The sequence below is a fragment of the Homo sapiens genome, chromosome 4, assembly GCF_000001405.40.
Source record: "Homo sapiens chromosome 4, GRCh38.p14 Primary Assembly".
Classification (NCBI taxonomy): Eukaryota; Metazoa; Chordata; class Mammalia; order Primates; family Hominidae; genus Homo; species Homo sapiens.
Genome location: NC_000004.12, coordinates 6,415,746 through 6,438,462, shown reverse-complemented (window position 1 = coordinate 6,438,462; position 22,717 = coordinate 6,415,746). Strand labels below are relative to the sequence as shown.

The 22,717-nt window shown below is 50.6% G+C and overlaps 1 protein-coding gene across 8 annotated transcripts in view, besides 1 other annotated feature; it reads left to right on the top strand.

Annotated features, from left to right (window-relative positions):
• PPP2R2C (protein phosphatase 2 regulatory subunit Bgamma) overlaps window positions 1-22,717 on the top strand; it is a 243,219-nt gene that overhangs the window by 125,337 nt on the left and 95,165 nt on the right. The window contains exon 1 of one of the 8 annotated variants that reach the window (XM_011513496.2): window positions 17,310-17,517. The exons of 6 other annotated variants lie outside the window; for them this stretch is intronic. The gene's annotated coding sequence lies outside the window, so the exon portion shown is untranslated. Of the gene's footprint in view, window positions 1-17,309; window positions 17,518-22,717 lie in introns of those variants that run through there. One more of the 8 variants, NM_001206996.2, reaches the window with a different exon arrangement.
• Window positions 13,127-13,176: an enhancer, noted in NCBI's record as "active region_21260". NCBI's record gives its function as "activates an Ori minimal core promoter by ATAC-STARR-seq in GM12878 lymphoblastoid cells {active_cell/tissue: GM12878}" and the evidence as "EXISTENCE:reporter gene assay evidence [ECO:0000049][PMID:35858748]".

The window sequence follows — 22,717 nt, the reverse complement described above, 5'->3', positions numbered from 1 at the left end:
TGGGTACAGAGGGAGACCCGTCCACCAAACTCTTCCAAACTGAGCTAAGAGGTAGGTGCGCAGGGAATGAGTCTATTCTCTTGGGCCACATTCCTTTGAGGCTTGATGTTCAGCCATTAGTGTATTTTGCATTCAGTTGCTTCCTCTGGCTGGCACAAAACATTAACACACTGAGAAAGGCTGCGTTTGAACCAACCTAACTTTTACATTATACTGACATCATTCCCCTATGTACAAATTGCATACGACCTACTTTGCAAAGGCAATGGTCATAGTAACTGTACGATGGTGAGTGGGGTTGTTAAATGCAGACCAGATACTGCTGTAATAGGGCTGTGACTCAGGACTATCATTCCAGTTGCCTGATATGAAAAAGGACATGAAGGAGAAGGTTTTATGAGAACTCTGGCAAAGACCCATGAAACCACTCTTCTTTGCCCTCCAGAAAACCTGGTAAAACTGAAAGTAAGCCAGCAGCCCCACGGGTTTGGGATTGATCCAGAAGACTGAAGGAATAAAAACAAGCTAATATATTTCTATCCCCTCCCTTCTAAGGCCTGTAGTTGGTTCCATTATGATGAGACAGCAGCCGATGCACGTAAAAACAGAGGCCATGCATCTACACAGGGGTGTTGAGGATTGAATGAGATTAGGTCTGAAAGAACACACAGTGGAGACAGTGTTGTCATTGTGGGGACAAAGATTTCTTTTCACAATTTGAGTGACACTTGTCATTTCTATAGGCAGTTAAGAGACAATAACTGCATACTGTTGGCCGCTGTACCTTTCCTGTGCACTGAGTCCCTGAGCATATTCGTGAGTCTTTAAAAGTACATTCTAGTCAATGTAGAAAACAGATAGTAAGGGACATGACTCTACCTAGATTAAGCTCAGTTTTGAAGCAGGGCCTAGAGGATTTAGAAGTGACAGAGTCCTGGATTAGGTGACATTTGATAAGAGCTCTGTCCCTAACTTCCTCTTAATTCTGGACAAGCCACTCCCCGCTCTGGCTGTAGTTCCCCCATCTTTAAAATGAAACAGTTGAATCAGACAACTACAAAAGGACTTGCCAGGCCTTCTGTCTCAGATCCTGTGTTGTTGAAGGGATGTCTGAGGCCAGAGATGCAGTTTACTTCTGAGCAATTACAGTTGTATTTCTTGTGTTCAGCCTAGCCCTTTACCAAGCTTTGTTGAAGAAATGGAGCAAGATCCTTGTCCTTTGCTTCGGTGGTTTTTAAAACTTGGATGCCTAAAGAAACCAGGAAGGTCATATCAGTGAGCAAAGTACAAAATGTATAAGCAAGACACAGTGCACCATGACGCTGAGAGTGGCAAAGTAACAGTCCAACCATGCATCAGGGAGTGGTGGGGACTGTGGCGTGCTGGCAAGCATAGCCTTGTGGGATTCTGCATTGGACAGCTCTTACAATTTCTGGAGAGAAATCAGAAATTCAGGTCTACATGTTGAATCTTTTAATATTGAAATGTTCACTTGGCAATGTGTAAACATCATTTGGGTCAAAGCCCATCTGTGAACCAAGTTAGTCAAAGACAACTGGGCATTTGGACCTCAGCTTTATAGTCTATATAAGGGTTGGTAAACTATGGCCCACATGCTAATCTGACCCACCTCCTGTTTTTGTGAATAAAGTTTAAATGAAGATGCAGTCACACCTATGTGTTTAGGTATTGCCTGTGGCTACTTTCACACTACAACAGCAGGGTTGAGTAGTTGTGACGGTAGTTGAGACAGTGTGGCCCTGTATTTATTCTCTGGACCTTTATGGAAAAAGGTTGCTGACCCTTGGTTCATGTCAATGACTCATATGGAGCAGCAGGAAACATTCTGAATTTGGAGCTGAATGACCAGGGTTTGACGCCTGGCTCAGGGAACTCTAGTAACAGAGTAGAGAGTGTTTCTCTTTTCTCCTTTTGGAAATGATCCTGAAGCAACAAATGGAACAAATGGAAATGCAAATGCCATCTTTGATGGAACCATAGCTTCTGGAACCTCATATGTGGGGAAGTGCAGTAAAGGTCAAAAATGGGTGCAGGATGTCTCCAAAGGGAAATAAAATGCCCATGGCTGTAAAGCTCAGACAGAGCAAACAAAGCAGAATTTTCTACACCTTCTGTGGTGGGCTCAGATGGCAAGACCTATAGTTCCTCTCATGGAGCAATAAGAACAAGTGCATTGGCTGGTGTCTTAGTCTGTTCATGCTGCTATAGCAGAATACCATAGATTGGGTGGCTTGTAAGCAGCATACTTTTATCTCTCACAGTTCTGGAGGCTGGGAAGTCTGATACCCAGGTGTAACAGATTTGGTGTCTGCTGAGGACCTGTTTTCTTGTTCATAGATGGTGCCTTCTTGCTGTGTGCTTGCGTGGCAGAAGGGGCTAGGGAGCTCTCTGAGATCTCTTTTATAAGGGTACTAATCCCATTCATGAGCACTCCACCCTCTAAGACCTAATCAGTTCTGAAAGACGTTACTTCCTAAGACCATCACATTGGGGGCTAAGATTTCTATATATGAATTTCGGGGGGACACACATTCAGACCATAACAACTGGTGTGGGAGCCTTCCCAGATCTAGTTTTGCACAAAGTGAAATCAGGGAAGTCTGGGGTGAACAAGGTCTCACATGGACAAGCTATATTTTCAAAAAGCAGTCTACTAGAGAGGCAAAGTGGAGAAAAGGGGCTGTGTTATGTGCCAGCCTGTGGCATCTGATCTTAACAAGAAAGAAGTAAAGGCCAAAAGAACTGACTCTCACTCACAAGCCTGTTTTCTAAGAACTAGATTACTCTTTTGGACACTCTGGTGCACGAATCTTGTATAAATAGATGGTTCAGGAAGAACTCATCACATTCAGAGATGAGTAATAATTAGTAAGGACCAGTGCAAGCTCTATCTCAAGATCCTCCAAAAATGAAGAAAGTAACAGATGAAAAATATGCGCAAGAAAACATTTGCCATAAATCAGATGAAAATATCAACTGTACATAATGCCTTGGACTAAGGAAAAAAATAATTGAGCAATCACACCTCTAAACAAGAGTATAAAGTTGAGATACAAGAACTCAGGAGAGGTGGTAACATGACAGAAGAGAGTGAAACCTGATATGATGAGCTCCACAAAGTAGATAGATTAACAAATAAACCCATCTAAAAAGTGAAGTATGCAATGGAATGATTATGACAGGGAACACAGAAAACACAGTAAGAGATATGGAAGATGAGATTGGGAAAAGCAAGATAAATTAATGTAAAGAGAGAGAGAGAAATATTAGAACATGATGCAGAGGACAGATAAGGGGATCCAACATACACATAATTGGTGTCCCTGGAGATAAGAATGAAAATAATTAAATAAAAAAAATTTAAGGCACAATTCCAGAACTTTCTAAAAATAAGATTTGAATTTATGGACTGAAAGGAAATACAGTGAGTGGCTGAGAAAATATTGATATGGTGAGGTCAACAGAAAGACATAGAGAAGTACTAATTTCCTCATAAATCAAGAACCCCCAAAAAAATTCAATAGAAGAATGGATAAAGGATGTGATGAGGAGATGGTTTACATAAAAGGAAATAGAAATATCTTTTAAACACATAAAAACTCAACCTCACTCATAATAAGAAAACTCCAAGTTAAGATACTGTTTTTTTATCTATCGTATAGGCAAGGACTAAAATAGCTGATATTACCATGATGGTGCAGGTATGAGGGAAACAAGAACTCTCAGAAACATGGCTATGGATTTCACTTCTAATCCTTGTCTGATGGAAGTACACAAGTAAGAGGCCAGGTGTGGTGGCTCATGCCTGTAATCCCAGCACTTTGGGAGGCCGAGATTGGCAGATCACTTGAGGTGAGGAGTTTGACACCAGACTGGCCAGCATCACGAAACCCCATCTCTACTAAAACTACAAAAATTAGCCAGGCGTGGTGGTGCATGCCTGTAATTTTAGGTACTTGGGAGGCTGAGGCACGAGAATCGCTTGAACCCAGGAGGTGGAAGTTGCAGTGAGCCGAGATCACGCCACTGCACTCTAGCCTGGGTGACAGTGTGAGACTCTGTCTCCAAAAAAAAAAAAAAAAGAAAAGAAAAAAGAAATACGCAGGTGAGAAATGACATTTATCCACATTTGTCATAGCATTGTTGGTAATGGGAAAGAATGGAAATATCTGTAATGGCCATCACAGGGGACTGTTTACATAAATTATTCCAGAGCGTGATAGTGGATAGCAATGAAAAGAACGTGACAGCTCAGGGTGCGCTGATGTAGAATGATGTTTAAGATTCTTTAGGTGAAATGAGCAAGGTGCAAAATAGTGGATGATCCATGACATGCTTTATGATTAAAACATGGTATCTTATGACTGCTTGTGTGTAGACTCCTTCTGGTAGGATGATGCACCTGAAAGTGCTCATAGTGGTTGCCACTAGACAGGAGAGCTGAGTGAGTGGGAGAAGGGCCTAAGGGAGACTTATTTTCACTGTTAGCTTTTTTGTGCCCTTTGCATTTTATACTCATTTCTTAACCAAAGGCTGCACAGCTTAGGTTGTGACCATAAGCTCTAGAGTCAGCTGTTCGAGTTCGAACCCTGACTGGGCTGCCTACTCGCTGTGTGACCTTGGACAAGTTACTTCACCTCTGTGGGTCTCAGAGTTGTCAGATGGATGTAACAATGGTGCCTGTTTCATAAGTTGTTGAGGATGAACTGAGTCAATTCAAGGGAAAGAATGAGGACAGAACCTGGCACAAAAAAATACAGTCAAATTAGCTATTATAGTGACTGCATGTATAGTTGAACCCAGGGTCTGGATTTGGAACCCGTATGCCTATTGGCCCAATGGGGGGGATGACTTGGCCACAGAACAGCCACAGCCAGGCAGTAAAGGGCACAGGGAGGGGGCCTTAGCCTGGGGCTTCAGGGAAGCTGCCCAGGGGAAGTGATGCTGCTGGGTCTTACAGAATGATGGGAAAACTTGGCGGCACCGTTTCAGGCGACGCTACTTAGATCTGCAAAACTGTTGATGTCTTACAATACCAAGTGTAGGGCGGGGCTGGAGAAATGGAAACTCATGCCACCACTGGAAATGGATATGAAAGCAAACCATTTGCAAAGTCATTTGCCAATATCCAGATATGTCCAAGCAGCCCCTCTGTTCCCCTTCTAGGTAAATAGCAGGGAAGCCTTCAGCTGTGCACAGAGAGCCATTCAGCAACAGAGCAGACCCTCGAACAACACGGGGTTGGGGGAGCCAACCCCCTGCACAGTCAAAAACCCACATACAACTTTTGACTCCCCAAAAACTTAACTAATAGCCTCCTCTTGATTGGACTTCCAAAAACATGAACAGTTGATAAACATACATTTTGTATGTTATATGTATTATATACTGTATTCTAATAAAGTAAGCTAGAGGAAAGAAAACATCATTAAGAAAATCATAAGGAAGAGGAAATATATTTTCTGTTCATTAAGTGGAAGGGGATCACTATAATCTTTATCCTCGTTGTCTTCATGTTGAGTAGGCTGAGGAGAAGGAAGAGGACGGGTTGGTCTTGCAGTCTCAGGGGTAGCAGAGGCGAAAGAAAATCATGTATAAGTGACCCTCACAGCTCAGCTCATGTTTGAGGGTCAACTGTATTCTAAAATCCAAGAGGCTCTGAAAGCCTAAAGATTTTTTCCTAACTTATTTGGCAGTGAAACCCAACCTAAATTGATGTGAAACCATTTATAGCCCTTCTCTATCCCTGTAGTGTGAAGTTTCATATGTTATGTACAGAAATAGAAATGCGTATGCGTGTTGTCCCAGAAGCCCTTGGGGGTGACAGATGTCCTAGGTGACCTGTGCACCATATTACTGTACAGTCCAAATCCTCTATCCTGAAATACTGGGCCCACCCTTTGGGATTTGGGAGATGACAGTGAAGCTGGTGTGTGTTCAGGGAATTCCAGGTTGTTGAAGGTGCTGGAGTAGAGGGGAGAGGGGGAAACGAGGCAGCAGGCGCTGGGTCCCGACGGTCCTTGGACACCTACTGAGGATGTGGGTACAACACTTGTTTCATCCCTGGGGCTCAGAGATGTCTGCTGAATCAGTCGAGGGGCCTTCAGTCCACTGTGAGCCCCAGAAGGCAGAGCTGTGGCCTCCTCCGACTTGTTTCTCAGAAAGGTCACTTGGGCAGCAGGTGAACATGGCTCAGGAGAGGCAAGGGAGGGTGGGGACAGGTAGGAAGCAGAAGCCACTTACTGGGCAAAGACCATAGCCATGAGGATGGGGAGGGACTGAGTAGCCAGAGAGGCGCTCATCAAAGCCTACTGCTGTCATCTGAAGGTCTGGTTTCTCCCAAATTCGTATATTGAAATTAAGCCTTAAGGTGATGCGTTAAGAGGTGGGGCCTTTGGGAGGTGGTCAGGTCATGAAGATGGAGCCCTCATTTATGGGATCAGTGGCTTTATAAAGGGACCCCACAGTGAGAAGATGGCCATCTATGAACTATGAAGAGGCCCTCCCCAGACACTGAAGCTTCTACACCTCGATCTTGGACTTCCCAGCCTCTAGAACTGTGAGATGTAAATGGCTGTTGTTATAAGCCCCCCGAGTCTGTAGTATTCTGTGGGAGCAGCCCCAAATGACTAAGTCCACGGCCCATCCTCCACCCACTGAGGCCATACCACTGGGAAGGGTATCAGAGGCAGGGTTGGGGTCTTAGAGGTCCAGGGTCTCTTGTCCAGGCTCCCCAGAGGCAGGCCCCGAGGTGTGGACTAGAGTATAAGTGGTTTATCAAGGAAGTGTACCCAGGGGAGGTCCAGATACAAGTAGGAGGGGCTCAAGCACAGAGGAGCCAGGGAAGGGGGGGCTCTGGACCGAAACCATGTCCCCTCCACAGCTTTGGACTTAGCCCCTTGGGGACACAGACGTGGCTGGGGATGGGTCACAAAGTAACCAGGGTGACTGCCAGCCTGAACTCTGGGCTCTCCAGACTTCTGGGGACCGTAGTCTCAGCCTGAGCAGCTTTCTCCAAGGAGGGTCCTGGAAACCTGGGGCCTGCCCCTGATTTTGTCCTGGGAGCAGGGCCCCTCCATGGTGTTCTGGAGCCCCTCATATTAGCTTTTGAGGTTGATTGCTTAATTTTCAGTTTGGAGAGCCAGCAGACATCTTGTTGGTAGTTTGAAATTGGCCAGGGCAGGGGTATTTATACCATGGAAGCTGGCAGGGGCTGCCTTCCAGAACCTCTCTCCCTCCAGGTGCAGGGAAACACGGACCTGCACACCCTGGTGGCTTTCACACCTTCCCCTCCTCAGGCGGCTCGTCCCCTTGCTCAGTTATACTGATCCTTGGGCTTGCAGGCAGAACCATCTCTGTCATCCAGAATCTCCCTAGTAACCCCAACCCCAAAAGTGGGCTGCCGGAAGAGGCAGATGGCAGTGTCCCAGGGCTATGGAAGCCACTGATAAACATCTTCCAACAAACAGGATCAGGGATCTGCAAAGTTTTTTTTTTGTTGTTGTTGTTGTTTTTTTGAGACAGAGTCTTGCTCTGTCGCCCAGGCTGGAGTGCAGTGGTGCGATCTTGGCTCACTGCAACCTCCGCCTCCTGGGTTCAAGTGATTCTCCTGCCTCAGCCTCACAAGTAGCTGGGATTACAGGTGCCTACCACCACAACTGGCTAATTTTTGTGTTTTTAGTGGAGGCGGTGTTTCACCATGTTGGCCAGGCTGGTCTGGAACTCCTGACCTCATGTGATCCACCCGCCTTGGCCCCCCAAAGTGCTAGGATTACAGGTGTGAGCCACCGTGCCCGGCTGGATCTGCAAAGCTGTTGAAAGGAGGAGTGGATAGGATTACAAAGTTGGCCTGATTCTGCTAAATGAACATTTCAACATGTTTCCCCTCGTGCACCGAGGAGGCGTGCACTCTCCTCTGAGGGTCTGAGGCTTTCTTCACGGAGACTTTGTAAACCACTTCTCCCCAGCACTCTGGAGTGGGGGAGTCACGTAGGGAAGTCATTTCTCTCCTCTTGGACCTCTCAGTCCCCTTTGGCTTCTCGCTGATACCAGGCAGTCAGGTGGATCAGAGAAGACATGGACTCTGGAGCTGGATGTCTGGTGCAGGCAGTGTGGCTTCAGGCAACTTGCTTTGCCTCTCTGGGCCTCAGCTTCCTCCTGGAAAATCATGATGCTCATACCTAGGGTTTCATGGGGGTCAGGCAGGACAGTGCAGGTGCAGGTATGAGCACCATCCCATCAAGGACATAGTCCTGGCTGCTTTCAGTGATCTTGGTGCTGGGGAAAATGGGGCTGATTCTCATGGAAGAGGAAATGGATTCATGTGCCCACTTCTTAAATGGAAATTCAAGGCCTTGATCGTGGCCCACTTATGAGGTGGGGACTAGTGAGGCTTCAGGTGGTGTCCTAAGATTAGAAAACTGGAGCATTCAGTTGGGAGTCAGACCTCTGCTGATGTGCTGTGTGACGTTGGGCAAGGTGTGTGACTTCTCTGGGCCTTGTGTTCAGTAGAAGCAGGTCATCTTTCAATAGACCTCCTTCCCAGACCCTCTCGGATGCTGTGGGCATCCAGCTGGCCCCCATGCCACACCTGGCTTCTCGGGGACTGGCCTGCATTCTCACACCCGTTCTTTCTGGCAACGATGGGCATTTGTTTCTCCCCTGCCAGCAAACTCCTTTGGACCAAGAATTGATGCCATGGTGTTAGCATACAATAAAGCTTCAAGGAGCTGGTGAAACACTCTGAGACGGTCATAAAATTGGCTTTTCATCCCTGTCGGAGCTTTCTTATTACAGACAACAAGCAGTGTCAGGGAGCAGCACGGTAGATGCTGCTTAACCCAGCAGCAGGCGAGACTGAGGGGGTCTCGTGCTGTTTGTCACCACCGCCTCTCTGAGATCATCCCCAACCCATACTGTTGACATTCACTGGGATACCTGGCTACCTGTTTTGGGTTTCCTTACAATTTTTTCATTTGTTTAATAGTTTTTATTTTTCAAAGTCTTAAAAAACACAAGTCAGTGAAAGTTTTGGTCTTTGTTACTGTCTTCCTACCAGGTACGAGGGCCTGAAAGTCACTGTTAATTGATTATTGATTATCTGATTAGAACCGTACATTTACTTTTTAAGGAAATGTGAAAAATAAGCCTAGAAATGAAATCAAAAGTGCGGTGTTGAAGTTAGAAATGGCAGCGTCACGGTCAGGAATTAAAGCTGCTGCTTCTCTGTCACATGGTATACCACAGGGGGTGGTAGCTACAGCCCATGGGCAAAACTTGGCCCAGTGCCTGTCTTTGTAAATAAAGTTTGATTGGAACAGAGTCATGCCCATGTATCTACACATGGCATGTATCTACACATTGTCTGTGGATGCCTTTCTGCTATAATGGCAGAGGTGCAGAGTTGCCAAAGAGGACATATGTCCCACGAAGCCTAAAATATTGGCTATCTGGCCCTTTGCAGAAAGAATTTGCTGACCCTTGGTATAGAGGAAAGTTAGTGGCACAAGTTTAGATCGCCTATAGTGAAAGACCTTGCAGGACCAGGAGTCAGGCAGACCTGGGTTCGAAACCCGCTCTGCCACTTCCTGGTTGTGACTTCAAGCTGCTTGCCTTTTCCTCTCAGGGTTCTGTTTCTGTCTCTGTCAAATGCAGCCAAATACTGCCCAGTTTGCACAGCTGTTTTTGGAGACAGAGACACTCAGCAAGGGGTCCAGCCCCTGGTGGGTGGTATCCCAATGTCACTGTTGGCATTTGCAGTGTCAGTGATGTCTGGCTTATTCATCAGGCCCTCTTGAGTTTGCCCCAAACGAGTCAACCCTCCAGGGCTGTGAAACTTCTGCTGCCTTGATACGATGTGATTTCCGAACCAGAAAAATGGAGGAGGCCCTGGCCCCTAATGCTTAAGTCACGGGTGACTCTGTGCAATTGGTTTCTTCCCTGTCTCCTGTCCCTCTAAAAAGAACCACCTGAGCTCCCGGACTGTGCTATATCCAGGCCTAAAGGCTGGTGGACCAGGACACAGTCACCAGCAATCAGCTTTCATCGACTTGGCTGGACCTTGGAAACTTAAGGCTTGCCCTGCCCTGGCTTCTTGCGGTGAGCAGGTCTTATGGAGTTGCTCTAACCACTGTCCATCCAGGCCGGGGTTAGAGGATCCAAACACAGCCATGTTGACGGGAACCTGGAGGCAAATAGAGGGCATGAGACCCTCCTCTCCTGAAACCTTTCTGGCCTTCTTATTGGATACCCACCAAACAGTCTTGATCTTAAAACTTTGTGCAAAGCAATAGGATGAACTTGTAGGACATGCATAAAGAGGAAGGTATGGATTGTGACATGCGGCTCTTAGGGATGCTCCTCCTACAGTGCTGAGTGACCCTCCTCAGAGGCACAGGTGTGGGCACAGCTTGTTCTTTCAAATCCTGGCACCCCAGCTGTTCTGCTGTCTAGCTCGTTCCCTCATTGACAAAACAGGAATAACAGTGCCCACCTCCTTGGGCTGTTAGGGGATCAACTGAGATGCTAAGTCATCCAGGAGGGGGAGCCTCTTTCCCAGAGTCCTGCCTGTGCCCGGTGGCTGTGCAGACCTGATACCCGCAGCCATCTACCTCTACACCTCATGTGTGTTAGAGAACACCACTCTGATTTCAGCCTCTCAGACTGGGGGTTCAGTCACTGGCTGCTAAAAGCTTCCTAAAGCCAAGGCCTCTCCTTGCCTCCAGGGGCTCCGTGTCTGTTAGATGTGTAAACAGATCCATCACCGAGCATACTGATGAGTCCTGGCCTAGGGACAAGCATGGCCACAAGTGAGGTGTCTGGAAAGGGCTCACAGGGGAAGGAGCCACTGAGGAGGGCAAGAAGAAGGCTTGGCCAGGAAGATGGGGTAGGGCTCATTCCTGGCAGGTCCAGCCTATGTGAAGCCCAGAGACCCAGTGAGGGGCTTGCCCATCCTTTGGCCTTGCTGGAGCCAAGGGTGTGAAATGGGAGCTGAGAGTAGGATGTTAGTAGCAGTGGCTTCCTGGGAAGGGCCCCCACGTGGGAGCCTCTGGCCTGGTTGCAAATGGCAGGACCAAGGAGGTCGTTGTTGAGTTAGTTGGAAGGCACTGTCCTGCCAGGATTTCCCACGTCCTCGTTTGAGCATTGAGATGCTGAACGTTAAACTGTCCTTCATTCTCCAGCTCAGTTCTTTTATTCATCCAACAAACACAGAGTAGCTACTGTGTACCAGATACTATTCTAGGCACTGGGCATACAGTGGGGCCCCCAGCTCGTCCTGGCCTCCCAGCCCAGTGGGTGTGGAGCAGTGAGCAGGAGGACCTCGAGTGTCACACTTGCTCCCCTTGGTACACATTGGCACATGGCGTTGCCAGGTCAGATATTCTCTTCTTGGGGTTCACCAGCATCCCCCTTGGATGTGCCCTCCGTGGTATGTGGCCGCTTCCATCTCAGTCTCAGGCCGATGGAAGATATTTTCAAAATTAACTTAGCTTTTGGAATTGGTTCCTCCCCATGTTGGTGCTCAAAGACTCCCCAGTGAGACAGCTGCCTCCTTGAGCTCTGTGTGCAAAACTTGGGGAGCAAGACTTGCTTGAGCCAGTGTTTGGCCTGGCCCAAGCTGTTGGGCCTGCAGAGCCTCACCTGCCCCTGTGGCTCAGGGCTTGGTGTCTGAAGTGGATGGAGGCAGCTGAACTGGTTTCTCCAGGGCCCCATCCAGCCTGCGTTTCCCAGGCTGCTGTCCCAGCTCTGCTCCACCCAAGTCTACTCTGCCGTCCCCTGATACTGACACTGAGTGTGTTTCTGAACACTGCAGGGGGTGAGGAATAAGGTGGGCATATTGTAGCTTCAGGAGGTGATGCTTGTGTCTGAAATACAAGGACCACAATTGCCATGCAGGTGTAAATATCTCCAGTGATTACACATTTCCCTGCACCGACCGAGTGGCTGCACCCAGTCTGGGGCTCTGTCTCTCCTGGTCAGTCTGTTCTTCCTGAAGCCAGGAACACAGGAGGGCAAGTTTCTCTCCATCCCTAGTCCCACCCTGGAGCCAGCACACAGTAGGCTGCAGGAAGTGCTCGTGGAACAAACACAGGCAGCAATGGAAGAATCCCCACCACTGGGATTTTCAGCAGCTGATCGTAGAAGGGAGCTGGACTGCAAGGCCGTCTCCGACCGCCTCCCTCTCACTGCCCAGCTGGCTAGGGTGATGAGTATGGACGAGGATGGAGGCAGGCTGTGGCTGCTGTCTCATCCAAGTAGCCTTTTCCTGACACCCCAAGGCTGGGCAGAGGGACTGAGTTGGTCCCAGGGCGGAGCCTGCTGGGAAGGAAGGCTGTTAGCCGCTGCCTTGCAGGTGCCATAGCAATGCCAGGCAGCCCACCTGCTCCTTGGATTAGATGGGGGATCAGAGCCATGAGGGAAGCAGGCCTGTACCCAGGAACAGGCTCATCCCGCCCCTGCCCTGGCCCGGTACTGATGGACCTGGAGCCATAGAGTGCCTCTCCCCGCAACACACATGCACATGCATGCACGTGTGCATGCACACACATACACCACATACACACCACACACACACACCCCACACATACACACATAACACACACACCACACACACACACACACACACACAGCCAAGCATCGATTCTGGGCCCTGTTCTGTATGCACACCAATTTTCCTGAACAGACTCTCCTTGTCTTCTAGCACCCGGGAGGATTCAGAAGTGTCCTGGCTGCCCTGTGGTGATGGGGATGGCAGGGACCTGCATTTTTGTGAGTTCCTGCACGTGATGAAGGGGAAATTGCAACTGCCCAGGCAGCCTGTGCAAAAAGGCAGTGGGTTTCAAGTGTGGTCATAAACCAAAAGCCTCAGGTTCACACGTCATGGGGGAGGCTGAGGGGAACACACAGCCTCTGAGCTGTGCTCTCGGGCTGATTCTGAGCTCGTGCTGGTGGGGACACCCCCAGACTTCCAGCAGCACTGGATGTCCCTGGATCCTCACATGACTCATGAGGAGGGGCTGGCATGTTCCTGAACTTCAGGTGTTGACTCTGCAGTGAGGCGATTTGGATCAGAGAGACTGTGCAGGTGCCCAGGACACACAGCAGGTGAGGTGCACAGCCAGGCTTGGCTAGCAATTGGGCTCTTAATGATGCTCACACTGGACGTGTCAGAGTGCCTGCTCCTGGGCGTGCACAGCCTTGTGGGAGGGGCCGACAGGTGGATAGGGAATTATAGGGTGGGGGGACAGGGAGCTGTGCTGGCTGTTGTGGGGACACCACAGGGAAGGCCCCCTGACTCTCATGTTCCAGCATTGCCACTTCCTGTCATCCTCTCGGCAACCCTATATGAATGGGAATAGGAGTAAGTGCTCTGTAAAGACTCCTCTGGCTGCCAGGCACGTGCTAAGCTCTTTGCCCACACCACTCAGGCATTCTTCATGATGGCCCTAAAAGTAGAGACTCTTGTGTCCCCATTTTACAGAGTAGGAAAGTGAACCCTAAAGAGGCTGCCTGCTGTTCTGTGGCCACACAGCTGGGCAGTGGCGGCATTGGGATTTGAACCCAGAAACTCTGGCTGTACGGTCTTAGCCTTGGCTCACTCTCACCTCCAAGAAATAGACTCTGAGCAGTGAGGTGACGTGTCCCAGGTCTCATGGGGGCTGAGGGATCTGGGAAGGGTGATTTGCCCCCACCCCTGCATCTCCCACACGGTCCCATCCCTGAACCCTTGCACACACGGCCCCTCTGCCTCCATGCCCTTCCCCTCACTTTGTCAAACCCCAGCAGCTGTTCAGCAGGCACACCACAGCCGCCTCTGGAGGAGGCATTGGCTGGTCTCCTGTGTCAATGTATCGACACTGCCTGGCGAGGTCTGGCTCTCCGGCCTCCCTGTGTATCCACAGGTCTCCCCAGCTCTGCAATCCCTTTAGGGCAGGCTCAGGTCAGTCATGCTATGGTCACCCCTCAGTGCCCCGACATGGCTCAGCAGTGTCCGGTGGCTTGAATGGAGGACCACAAAGTGTCCTCTCTCTGCAGAGGGGCCCCAGGTCATATCTGCTGACTTAGCACCGCCTATAAGATTTAAAGACCATTCTGTTTTCACCTGGAGGAACCGTCAGCTCACGCAGGATGGCAGGTGGTTTTCCAGGGCTCCACAGTGAGGTCTCCAGTTCATCTTTTGATGAGGGTGATGATGGGACAGTGGCCCTGAAAGCACATGGCTCTAGAGTGCTTAGGAGCCTGGTGACCTGCTGCTGTGACTTCCTCTCCAGAGCTGGAGCTCCAGGGGCTGAGGTTCCCCTTCCCTGGGCAGCCCCTTCCTCCTAATCCGGCTTTCCCTGTGAGGAAGAGCCTCCTGGCCTTAAGCCACATCCTTAGCAGCTTCTGCCGTGGCCCTTCCTCCAGCCGGGGACCCTGGCAGAATGCATGGGCAGGAGGAGGTGCCTTGGCCCCAGGACAGCCAGGTGGGCAGTGAATGGACGAAATCAGTCTGTGCAGGAGGGAAACACTAACACTAACCCTAACCCTAACCCTAACCCTAACACACTCTCAAAACATTTGATTCTAACTTAAAACACACAAGGGCACTCCTTTCCATGGCCCTACTACATGATCTGGCCTGACCTGCCTTTCTGGCCTCTGCTCATACCACTACCTCCCTGATCTTTCAGTTCCTCAAACACACCAAGCTGGTTCCTACCCTCTAGCTCCCTCCCACTGACTCCTCCTCACCCTGAGATCCTCCTCAGCTTATCAAAAAAAGATTCCCCCATTTTCTCACTTCAACCCTTTGTTCATTTCCTCCAAAGTACTGTATTACAGTTAATGATTATTTTTTGGGTCTGTTTACCTGTTTGGGCTTCGCCTCCCCAGTGGTATGTAAGATCTTTAAGGGCAGGGTGCATGTGTGTTTCTTGGTTTCCAAAATATCCCTAGTGGGGGCCGGGTGTGGTGGCTAATGCCTATAATCCCAGCACTTTGGGAGGCTGAGGTGGGTGGATCACTTGAGGTCAGGGGTTCGAGACCAGCCTGGCCAATGTGGTGAAACCTCGTCTCTACTAAAAACACAAAAATTAGCTGGGCGTGGTGGTGTGCACCTGTAGTCCCAGCTACTTGGGAGGCTGAGGCAGGAGAATTGCTTGAATCCGGGAGGCAGAGGTTGCAGTGAGCCGAGATTGCACCACTGCACTCCAGCCTGGGTGACAGAGTGAGACTGTCTTGAAACAAACAAACAAAAAACTAAAACAAGAAAACCCCCAAAATATCTCCAGTGGGTAGCACAGAGCCTGACACACAGTAGGTCTGCATGAATATTTGTTGAAGGAATGAAACAGTGCCTGGATGAGTGTATTGCAGCCCCTTCCAGGTAGGGCACAGCCATCGGGGAGCCAGCGTGACAGATGTGAGTGCTGTGGCCCTGGGATGCGATGACAACCCCTTCTCACTGGGGTGTACCCTGGATTGGGTTGGTGCATGTAGAATATATGGCATGCTGCTGGCACTTGGCAGGTGCTCTGTCAAGGTTAGTTGTTGTTACTTAAAAACTCTAATCAAGTAAGCATGACATATACTGAGGTCCTACTGTGTTACTGTTATGGGCTGAATTGTGTCTGCTCCAAAACTCACATGTTGAAGTCCTAACCCCCAGCACCTCAGAATGTGACTGTGTTTTGAGACAGGGTTTTCACAGAGGTACCTAAGGTTAAACTGGATCATTAAGGTGGGCCCTGATCCAATATGACTGTGTCCTTATAAGAAGAGGAGATTAGGACAGAGACACACACAGAAGGACAACTGTGTGAAGACACAGGGAGAAGACAGCCATCTGCAAGCCAGGAGAGAGGCTTCAGAAGAAACCATCCTGCTGACACCTTGATCTTGGACTTCCAGCTCCAGAACTGTGAGGAAATAGATTTCTTTTGTTTAAGTGGCACAGTCTGGGGCACTTTGTTATGGTGGCACTAGAAATGAATACAGTTACCAAATTTAATTTTTCAAGCTCTCTCTAGCAGCAAAGTATTTCCCCCATATAAAAAAATGAGGACGCTGAGGCTCAGAGAGGTGAACTCGTTTGCCGGAGCCACAGGGCTTGCTGGCGGGCGTTGGCACTGATAGTTGAACCCTGGTCCACTAGTGTGCCTCCAGAGATGGTGCAGGCCACGCCGTCTGCCTTGGTCTCACGCAAGTGGCGGCTAAGCCCAGAGGCACTTGTCTCCATTTCAGTGCCCTGCTATTGGCTGGTTAGAAAGTCAATATTTTATGGAGCCTCATCAACCTCCCAAGTCTTGGGTCTCAATTCCCCCTTTTGGTGTGAGCCTCTGAAGACTGGTTGAGCATTTGTGAGAAACAAAGTTTTGACTACTCAAGACTCTAGTTAAAAAAAAAAAAAATTGCACCAATGTGCCATCCGGCTGCAGCGTCTCAGGGGCATGATTCGGTTTTTGCAACAGGGAGTAGCTCTTCTTGAAACATTATGGGATTTCTTTCCTAAGTTGACTTCACTTACATTCTGCTCAGCACATGCAAAGCATTTGGTTATCGGGAGGCAGAGTAAGATGACAACCCTATTATTGAAGGTAAGCAGACCTGGCCTGTTCACAAAGCCCTTTTTACATCTTATTTCATTCTGTTACCAACAGGGTAACTGTGAAGTGGGTGGGCAGGAACTGTGACTTCTTTTCAAGTCTCAGAAGATGTCAGTCCCCCAGGGAGGCTGGGCCTCCGAGTGCCAGTGCAGGTGGCTCCCCCTCGGCCGTCCTATGCCACGTGCCCTCTCCTCGTCATTCTCAGCCCCCTCGCGTCTGGAGTCACCTCGCTGGTTTATCGTCTTGTGGTCCATCTGCCCGTGAGCATTCCAGCCAGGTCTGTGGGCTTCGTTTTCACGGCCGCCATTTTGGCTGCCCGCAGAGTGCCTGGTGCAAAGCGGATGACACTCAGTATCTAGAGCGGCACTTCCGGGTAATCCACAAACACTTATCAAACACTTAGGTGTCACTTGGGGTGCTCGGAATTGCAAACATGAGGACAAACCCTCACTCCATTTGGGGCCTGCAGATTCAGCAAGAGTGGAAAAACCAGCTTTTTAAAATGGCAGCCTGGGAATCCCAGAAGTAGGAAGCACAAGCTTGTCTTTGGCAGGCCAGGCCAGCTGCTGACCCGCACGGCCTTCAGGGGCCAGCCAGTGCGACCATGATTGAATGCACAGCCCTGACTCCTTTGTGGCATTGGCTCCTGGGTCCAGGTGGGAGCATCTGATTGGCCCCCACTGGTCATGTGCTAACCAGGAAGTGGTGTGTGATGGGCTGAGCCTAGGGCTCATACCTGCATGTGTTTTGGGGGAAACAGAGAGAAAGGTGTGGCCTCTCCACTTCTGTGGACACCCCAAATAGGAAGAAGGGTGCACACAAAGCACCGCTTCCTCCACGAAGCCCTCCTCAGGCACATCGAGGAGAACCAGCTGCCCAAGCTCTTGGCTGCTGCCCTTCTGAGGCCTGCCTGGTAGGTGGCGTAGGAGGAGGCTTGGTAAGCAGATGATGGGACATCATCTACCACATCCCATCAGTAACATCCAACAAGTGTGTGTGCCAGCACAGACCTGGGCACTGGCATGTCCCAGCCGTCATTCCATGTCAAATACTTATCTGTGCCGTCATCGTCGAGGTCTGGTTTCCAACTCTATGGCTCCATTGTCTCATGTTTAACCAGTCCTCTTACTGGGCATCAGCTTTTCCATTTTTGCTCTGTGAGAGGTTGTTGAGTTAGTTGGAGGACCAAGCCCATAATTTCCTGGATGACAGTTCGTGTCCCGCAGATAGAGCTTAACCAACAGTGGTTCCCTTTCCAGACCTAAGCAGGTGGGAGTCAGAGATGAGCATAGAGAAAGGGTGAAGGGGTGCCTCTGGATTCCCAAGGCAGGGACATAGCTGGGGGAGCTGCCTCCGGACTCGCAAGGCGGGGGTGTGGCAGACACTTTGCAGAAAAAGTACATCTGTCCTTGGGGCGAGAGGCCGCACATGCAGCCCCAAGTCCCTGGACCTGTGAGATCCTGGCTGCCTGCTGTTGATAGAACGGGACAGGTGGGGGGATGCTTTTGATTCATGTACGGTGAATGATCTTATTCTCACCTTTATCACTGGTGGCACATTCTGATGGAAGGAGACATTGGCAGTGGGACTGGGCAAGAAACAGGTCATTTGTCATGGCTGTGTGCCAGCCTCCTGTCGTTGCACAGCCTGTCCTTGGGAAGTCTTGCTCACCTGTCATGTGGAGTAGTTGTATGTGTGTGAGTGTGTGTGTGACTGAGAGAGACATACACATATGCACACACACGCAGAAGTGTCTGTACCTCTGAGAATATAGTTCTCCAGAGGATGCAGAAAAATTGGGGATTGCAGACTGTCGTGCGTTTAAATGTGTCCTTCTCTCAAGAATAATGTCCACTTGGAACCTCAGAATGTGACCTTATTTGGAAATAGGGTTCTTGTGTATGTCACTAGTTAAGATGAGGTCATATTGGATTCGAGTGGGCCTCAAGTCCAATGGCTGGTGTCCTTCTAAGGAGAGGACACACAGAGACACAGGGAGAGGAAGGCCGTGTGATGACAGAGGCAGAGATTGGGGTGATTTATCTACACACCAGAAGCCAGGAGGGAGTCAGGGAGCGGCTCCTCCCTCAGAGCTTCCAGAGGGAGCCAGGCCTGCCCACGCTGTGATGTCACATTCCTGGCCTCCAGAACTAGGAGAGGATAAAGTTCGATTGTTTTCCAGCTGTCTGTGTGTAGTAATATGTTACAGCAGCCACAGGACACTGATACCCAGACACATCCCAGGCCCTAACATCCCAGAAGAGGAGTCCCTGATACTCCTCTTTTGCAAAATGAGGTGTGGGCTCAGAGCAAGTTCGATTTTCTGTGAAGGGCCTGATAGTAGATATTTTAGACTTTGCAGGCTGTGTAAATCTCTGTTGCATATTTTTCTTTTCTTTTCTCTTCTTTTCTTTTCTTTTCTTTCTTTTTTTAGACAGAGTCTCACTCTGTCGCCTAGGAGTGCAGTGGCAGTGGCACCATCTCAGCTCACTGCAACCACTGCCTCCCGGGTTCAAGCGATTCTCCTGCCTTAGCCTCCCGAGTAGCTGGGATTACAGGCACATGCCACCACGCTTGCCTAATTTTTGTGTGTGTGTGTTTTTAGTAGAGATGGGGTTTCACCACGTTGGCCAGGCTGGTCTCGAACTCCCTACCTCAGGTGATCCGCCTGCCTCAGCCTCCCAAAGTGCTAGGATCTGTTGCACATTTTTCTTTGTTTGTTTTGTTGTCATTTGTTTGTTGTTTGTTTCACAACCCTTTGAAAATGCAGAAAACATTCTTAGCTCTTGGGCTGGGTGTCACTGAGTTTGCCCTAGGGGAACCCTCACCGCATGCGAAGCTGAGTGGGCACGGTTTCCTCCGCTGTCAACGGGAATATTGATGGTTTCCCTGAGTGAGGACCCAGGGGAAGCACTGGGCTGGTGCCCGCCTCCTGTCTCTGTGCCCAGGCCTACTGTCTGCTTCACACTTTACTCCCCAGAACCAGGCATGACACTTAGTACAGGGCAGGCCGAGCTCGGGGGAGATTTGCTTGAAGAATGAGGAACGTTTCTGGAAGCCTCTCTGACCACCCAGCAGGCAGGGGCAGGTCTTCCTCTGAGACCCAAGTCCTCTATGCTTCCCTCCATCCTAGCAGTGACTTCCATGACACACCATTGTCCCTTTGGGAGCACAGGACTCTGGCTGAGTCATCTCTGAAGTGAGGTGAACCCAGCACAGGGACTGATGGCTTGGGAAGAGCAGCTCAGCCTATGTGGGGGGTGTTGAGGGTGCCCAGGCCCAGGGGCGATTTGATCCCACCCTACCCTAGCGCAGCCAGAATGCTGGGGCCGAGGTTCACCTGGGAGATGCAGGAGTTTAGAGAAGAGGAGGAGGATGTTTAAGCGTGCGAGCTGGTGATAGGAGCGTGGAGTTGGAGCTAGACCCAGACTTGAATTCTGGCTTTGCTGCGTGGCAGCAGCTGTGTGGCCCTTGATGAGTGTCTTAACCTTGCTGGGCTTTGGCTTCCTCTCCAGGAGGGCATAGCAAGTCCTGCCTGTTAGGGCCATCCTGAGGATGGGGTGACCAGAGCATGAGCAGCCGGGTGCCCAGGGCACCTGGGCAACAGCCCTGTGGGTAGGTGGGTCTGAATGGTTGAGCCCCACGTTTTAGTCAAGACCACTCTCCTTGCAGAGCAGTTCATGTCCACTTGCCCACATCCTTCCTGTCCCAGCACCGTCTGTAGGTTGCTATGATCACCCCATTTTACAGATGAGGAAGCACATGCCCAAAGAAGCAAGTGACTTCCCAAGGCGGCAAGGCAAGGTGAGGGGCAGAATGAGGACCCCAACCCAGTTCTCCCCACCCCCTCCTTCCCTTCCAGAGCCCCTGCCTGCTGGAGGCATTGTCCCAGCGGCAGAGGGTCAGGCCACATCTGCCAGAGCTAAGGGGAGTCTCCGTCATCTCAAATCATTGGGTCAAATGACAGAAATCTGCTGGCATGCTGCCTTTTGAGGCTCGGCGACTTCTCTGAGGCTTTCCTGATGGCTGCTCTGGGTGTCTGGAATGAGCTGTGGACGAGGGCCGTCCTCTGAGTGACCATGCCCCCCACGCAGCCGAGGTTCCCCTCTGCCTGGCTCAGTGCGGGTTCTGAGAAAGCCTGCCTGCCCTCACTGGAGGCACCTCTGACTCACTGCTGCAAGGATGTGGCCATGGACTGGGGTCCCCGGGGGCCCCCGAAAGCCTCAGCAGGAGAACATGTTTATCCAGAAGCCTGGGCAACACCCAGAGGGTCCTGGCATGGGTGTGCCAGGCAGACTGGGCATGGAAACATGCCCCGTGATGTCTTTGGGATCCTGGGAGCCTGAGGCTTGTTCTCAGTGTGTAGGGCAGGGGCTGGGTGCCACCCAAGGGGGGCAAACTGAGGTCACAGAGAGGGAGGCAGTACCCCCAGAAAAGGTGATTCTTCTCATTGGAAGATTCCCAAGGCCCAAGGCCTGGGTCAGCAGACAGTGGAACAAGGGTAATGGTCATGTCCTTAATTCACGTAACCCCGAGGTGGGTCCCTGTGAAAATCCCGTGGATGGGGCCTGGTGATGGCTACACTTATATTCTCAGAAGCAGCATTACCACCTGGACCCTTCCCTTTTCTCTTACTCCCTCCTCCTCGTGGGGTCTGCAAGGGGGTCTGGTAAATGGCATCCCCCTCCCCGCCCAGGGGCTGGACCCGTGGAGCATAAGCCAAAAGGGGCGGCAAAGAGAGACACGGAACCTCACTGCCACTGCCCAGCTGCCGGTGCTGCAGGACCTGGCTTAGGTTCAGGGGCCCGGTGGGCTTCCCCAGTGCTGGACCCCAGCAGGCAGGTGTGGAGGGAGCAGGGGGTAGTGGAGCAGAGTACAGTGGCCCCTGGCTGTTCTCCCCCAGGAAGAGAGGAGAGGCGGGGCTGGACTCTTTCCCATCTCCCTCCCCAATACTCCAGCGTCAGTCAGTCTCCCCCCGACAGGGGGAAGGGAGAGAGGCCAGGAGCCTTCCCCTGGGGCACACACAGGGAGCCCAGCAGGCTTGGAAGAAGTGTCTCCCTCCTCCTCCAGCCCTGCCAGATGGTCCCAGCCCTCCTGCAGGGTTCCCGAAGTGGAAGGATCTGGACTCAGAGCCCAGTGCTGCTGCTTGGCATCTGTGGTCCCGGGCTGGAGGGCGTGTTGGCAGCTCATGCCTGGCCAGCGCATCGGGGTGGCTGCAGCAGAGGATGGGGGAGGGGAGCAGGGACAAGAGGAGCCTGCAGGCTGCTGGGTGCAGCCAGGGCTTCTGCTTCACCCCGGGGGTCACAGCTGCTTTCTGTTGGGAAAGCTCCCACTGGAGGTATGGGGTAGGCAGTGCTGGAGACCCTGGTGGCAAGTGCTGAGCTGGGGCACAGGTGAGGATCAGGAGGAGCTGGGAGGGACATCCGCAGGTTGTGCTGATGGACTGCCTCTGAGTATTTTCACGGGATGGTGGAAAGAGGCCTTGAGTCAGACCTGGGTTCGAATCCTGGCTCCTACTCTTGGTAGCAGTGTGACTTTATGTGACCTTTCTGAACCTCAGTTTTCTCTGTTGTAAAATGGGGAAAACCACACATCGTGGGGGCGGTTGTGTGCACCTAAGGAAGCCACCCCAGGGCTGGGCACACGGGTAGCCGATTGTCATATCCTTGTTATGGAAGGTTGTTATCCTTGTTAGGCTGGTGGGCAGGGGTGGTAGAGGAGTAGGTTGTTTTTGGAAAATGGTGGACTTAGTCTTAGACATGTTGTGTTTAAATTGCTCATGAGAAATCCAAATAGAAAGACCCAGGGTGACAGCAGGGACTGCTAGGAACTTGGGATAAAAAATTGGTCCTGGGGTGCTGGTCACTGATCCTGTGGATAAAGGAGTTGGGGTGCTCTGTTTGGGTCCAGCTGGCAGAGTTGGACCAGTTGAGAGAAACTTCTAGGAGGAAGGTTTAGAAGAAGAATGCTTTCACCATCAGAGCTATCTTAATAGCTGTGTAATGTGGTAGTGAGCTCCCCATCGTAGGAGGTATGTGAGTCATGGCTGGAGGACTACTTGGAGGTCTGTTGTAGAAGGATTCAGACACCAGAGAGGGTTAGACTGGATGACC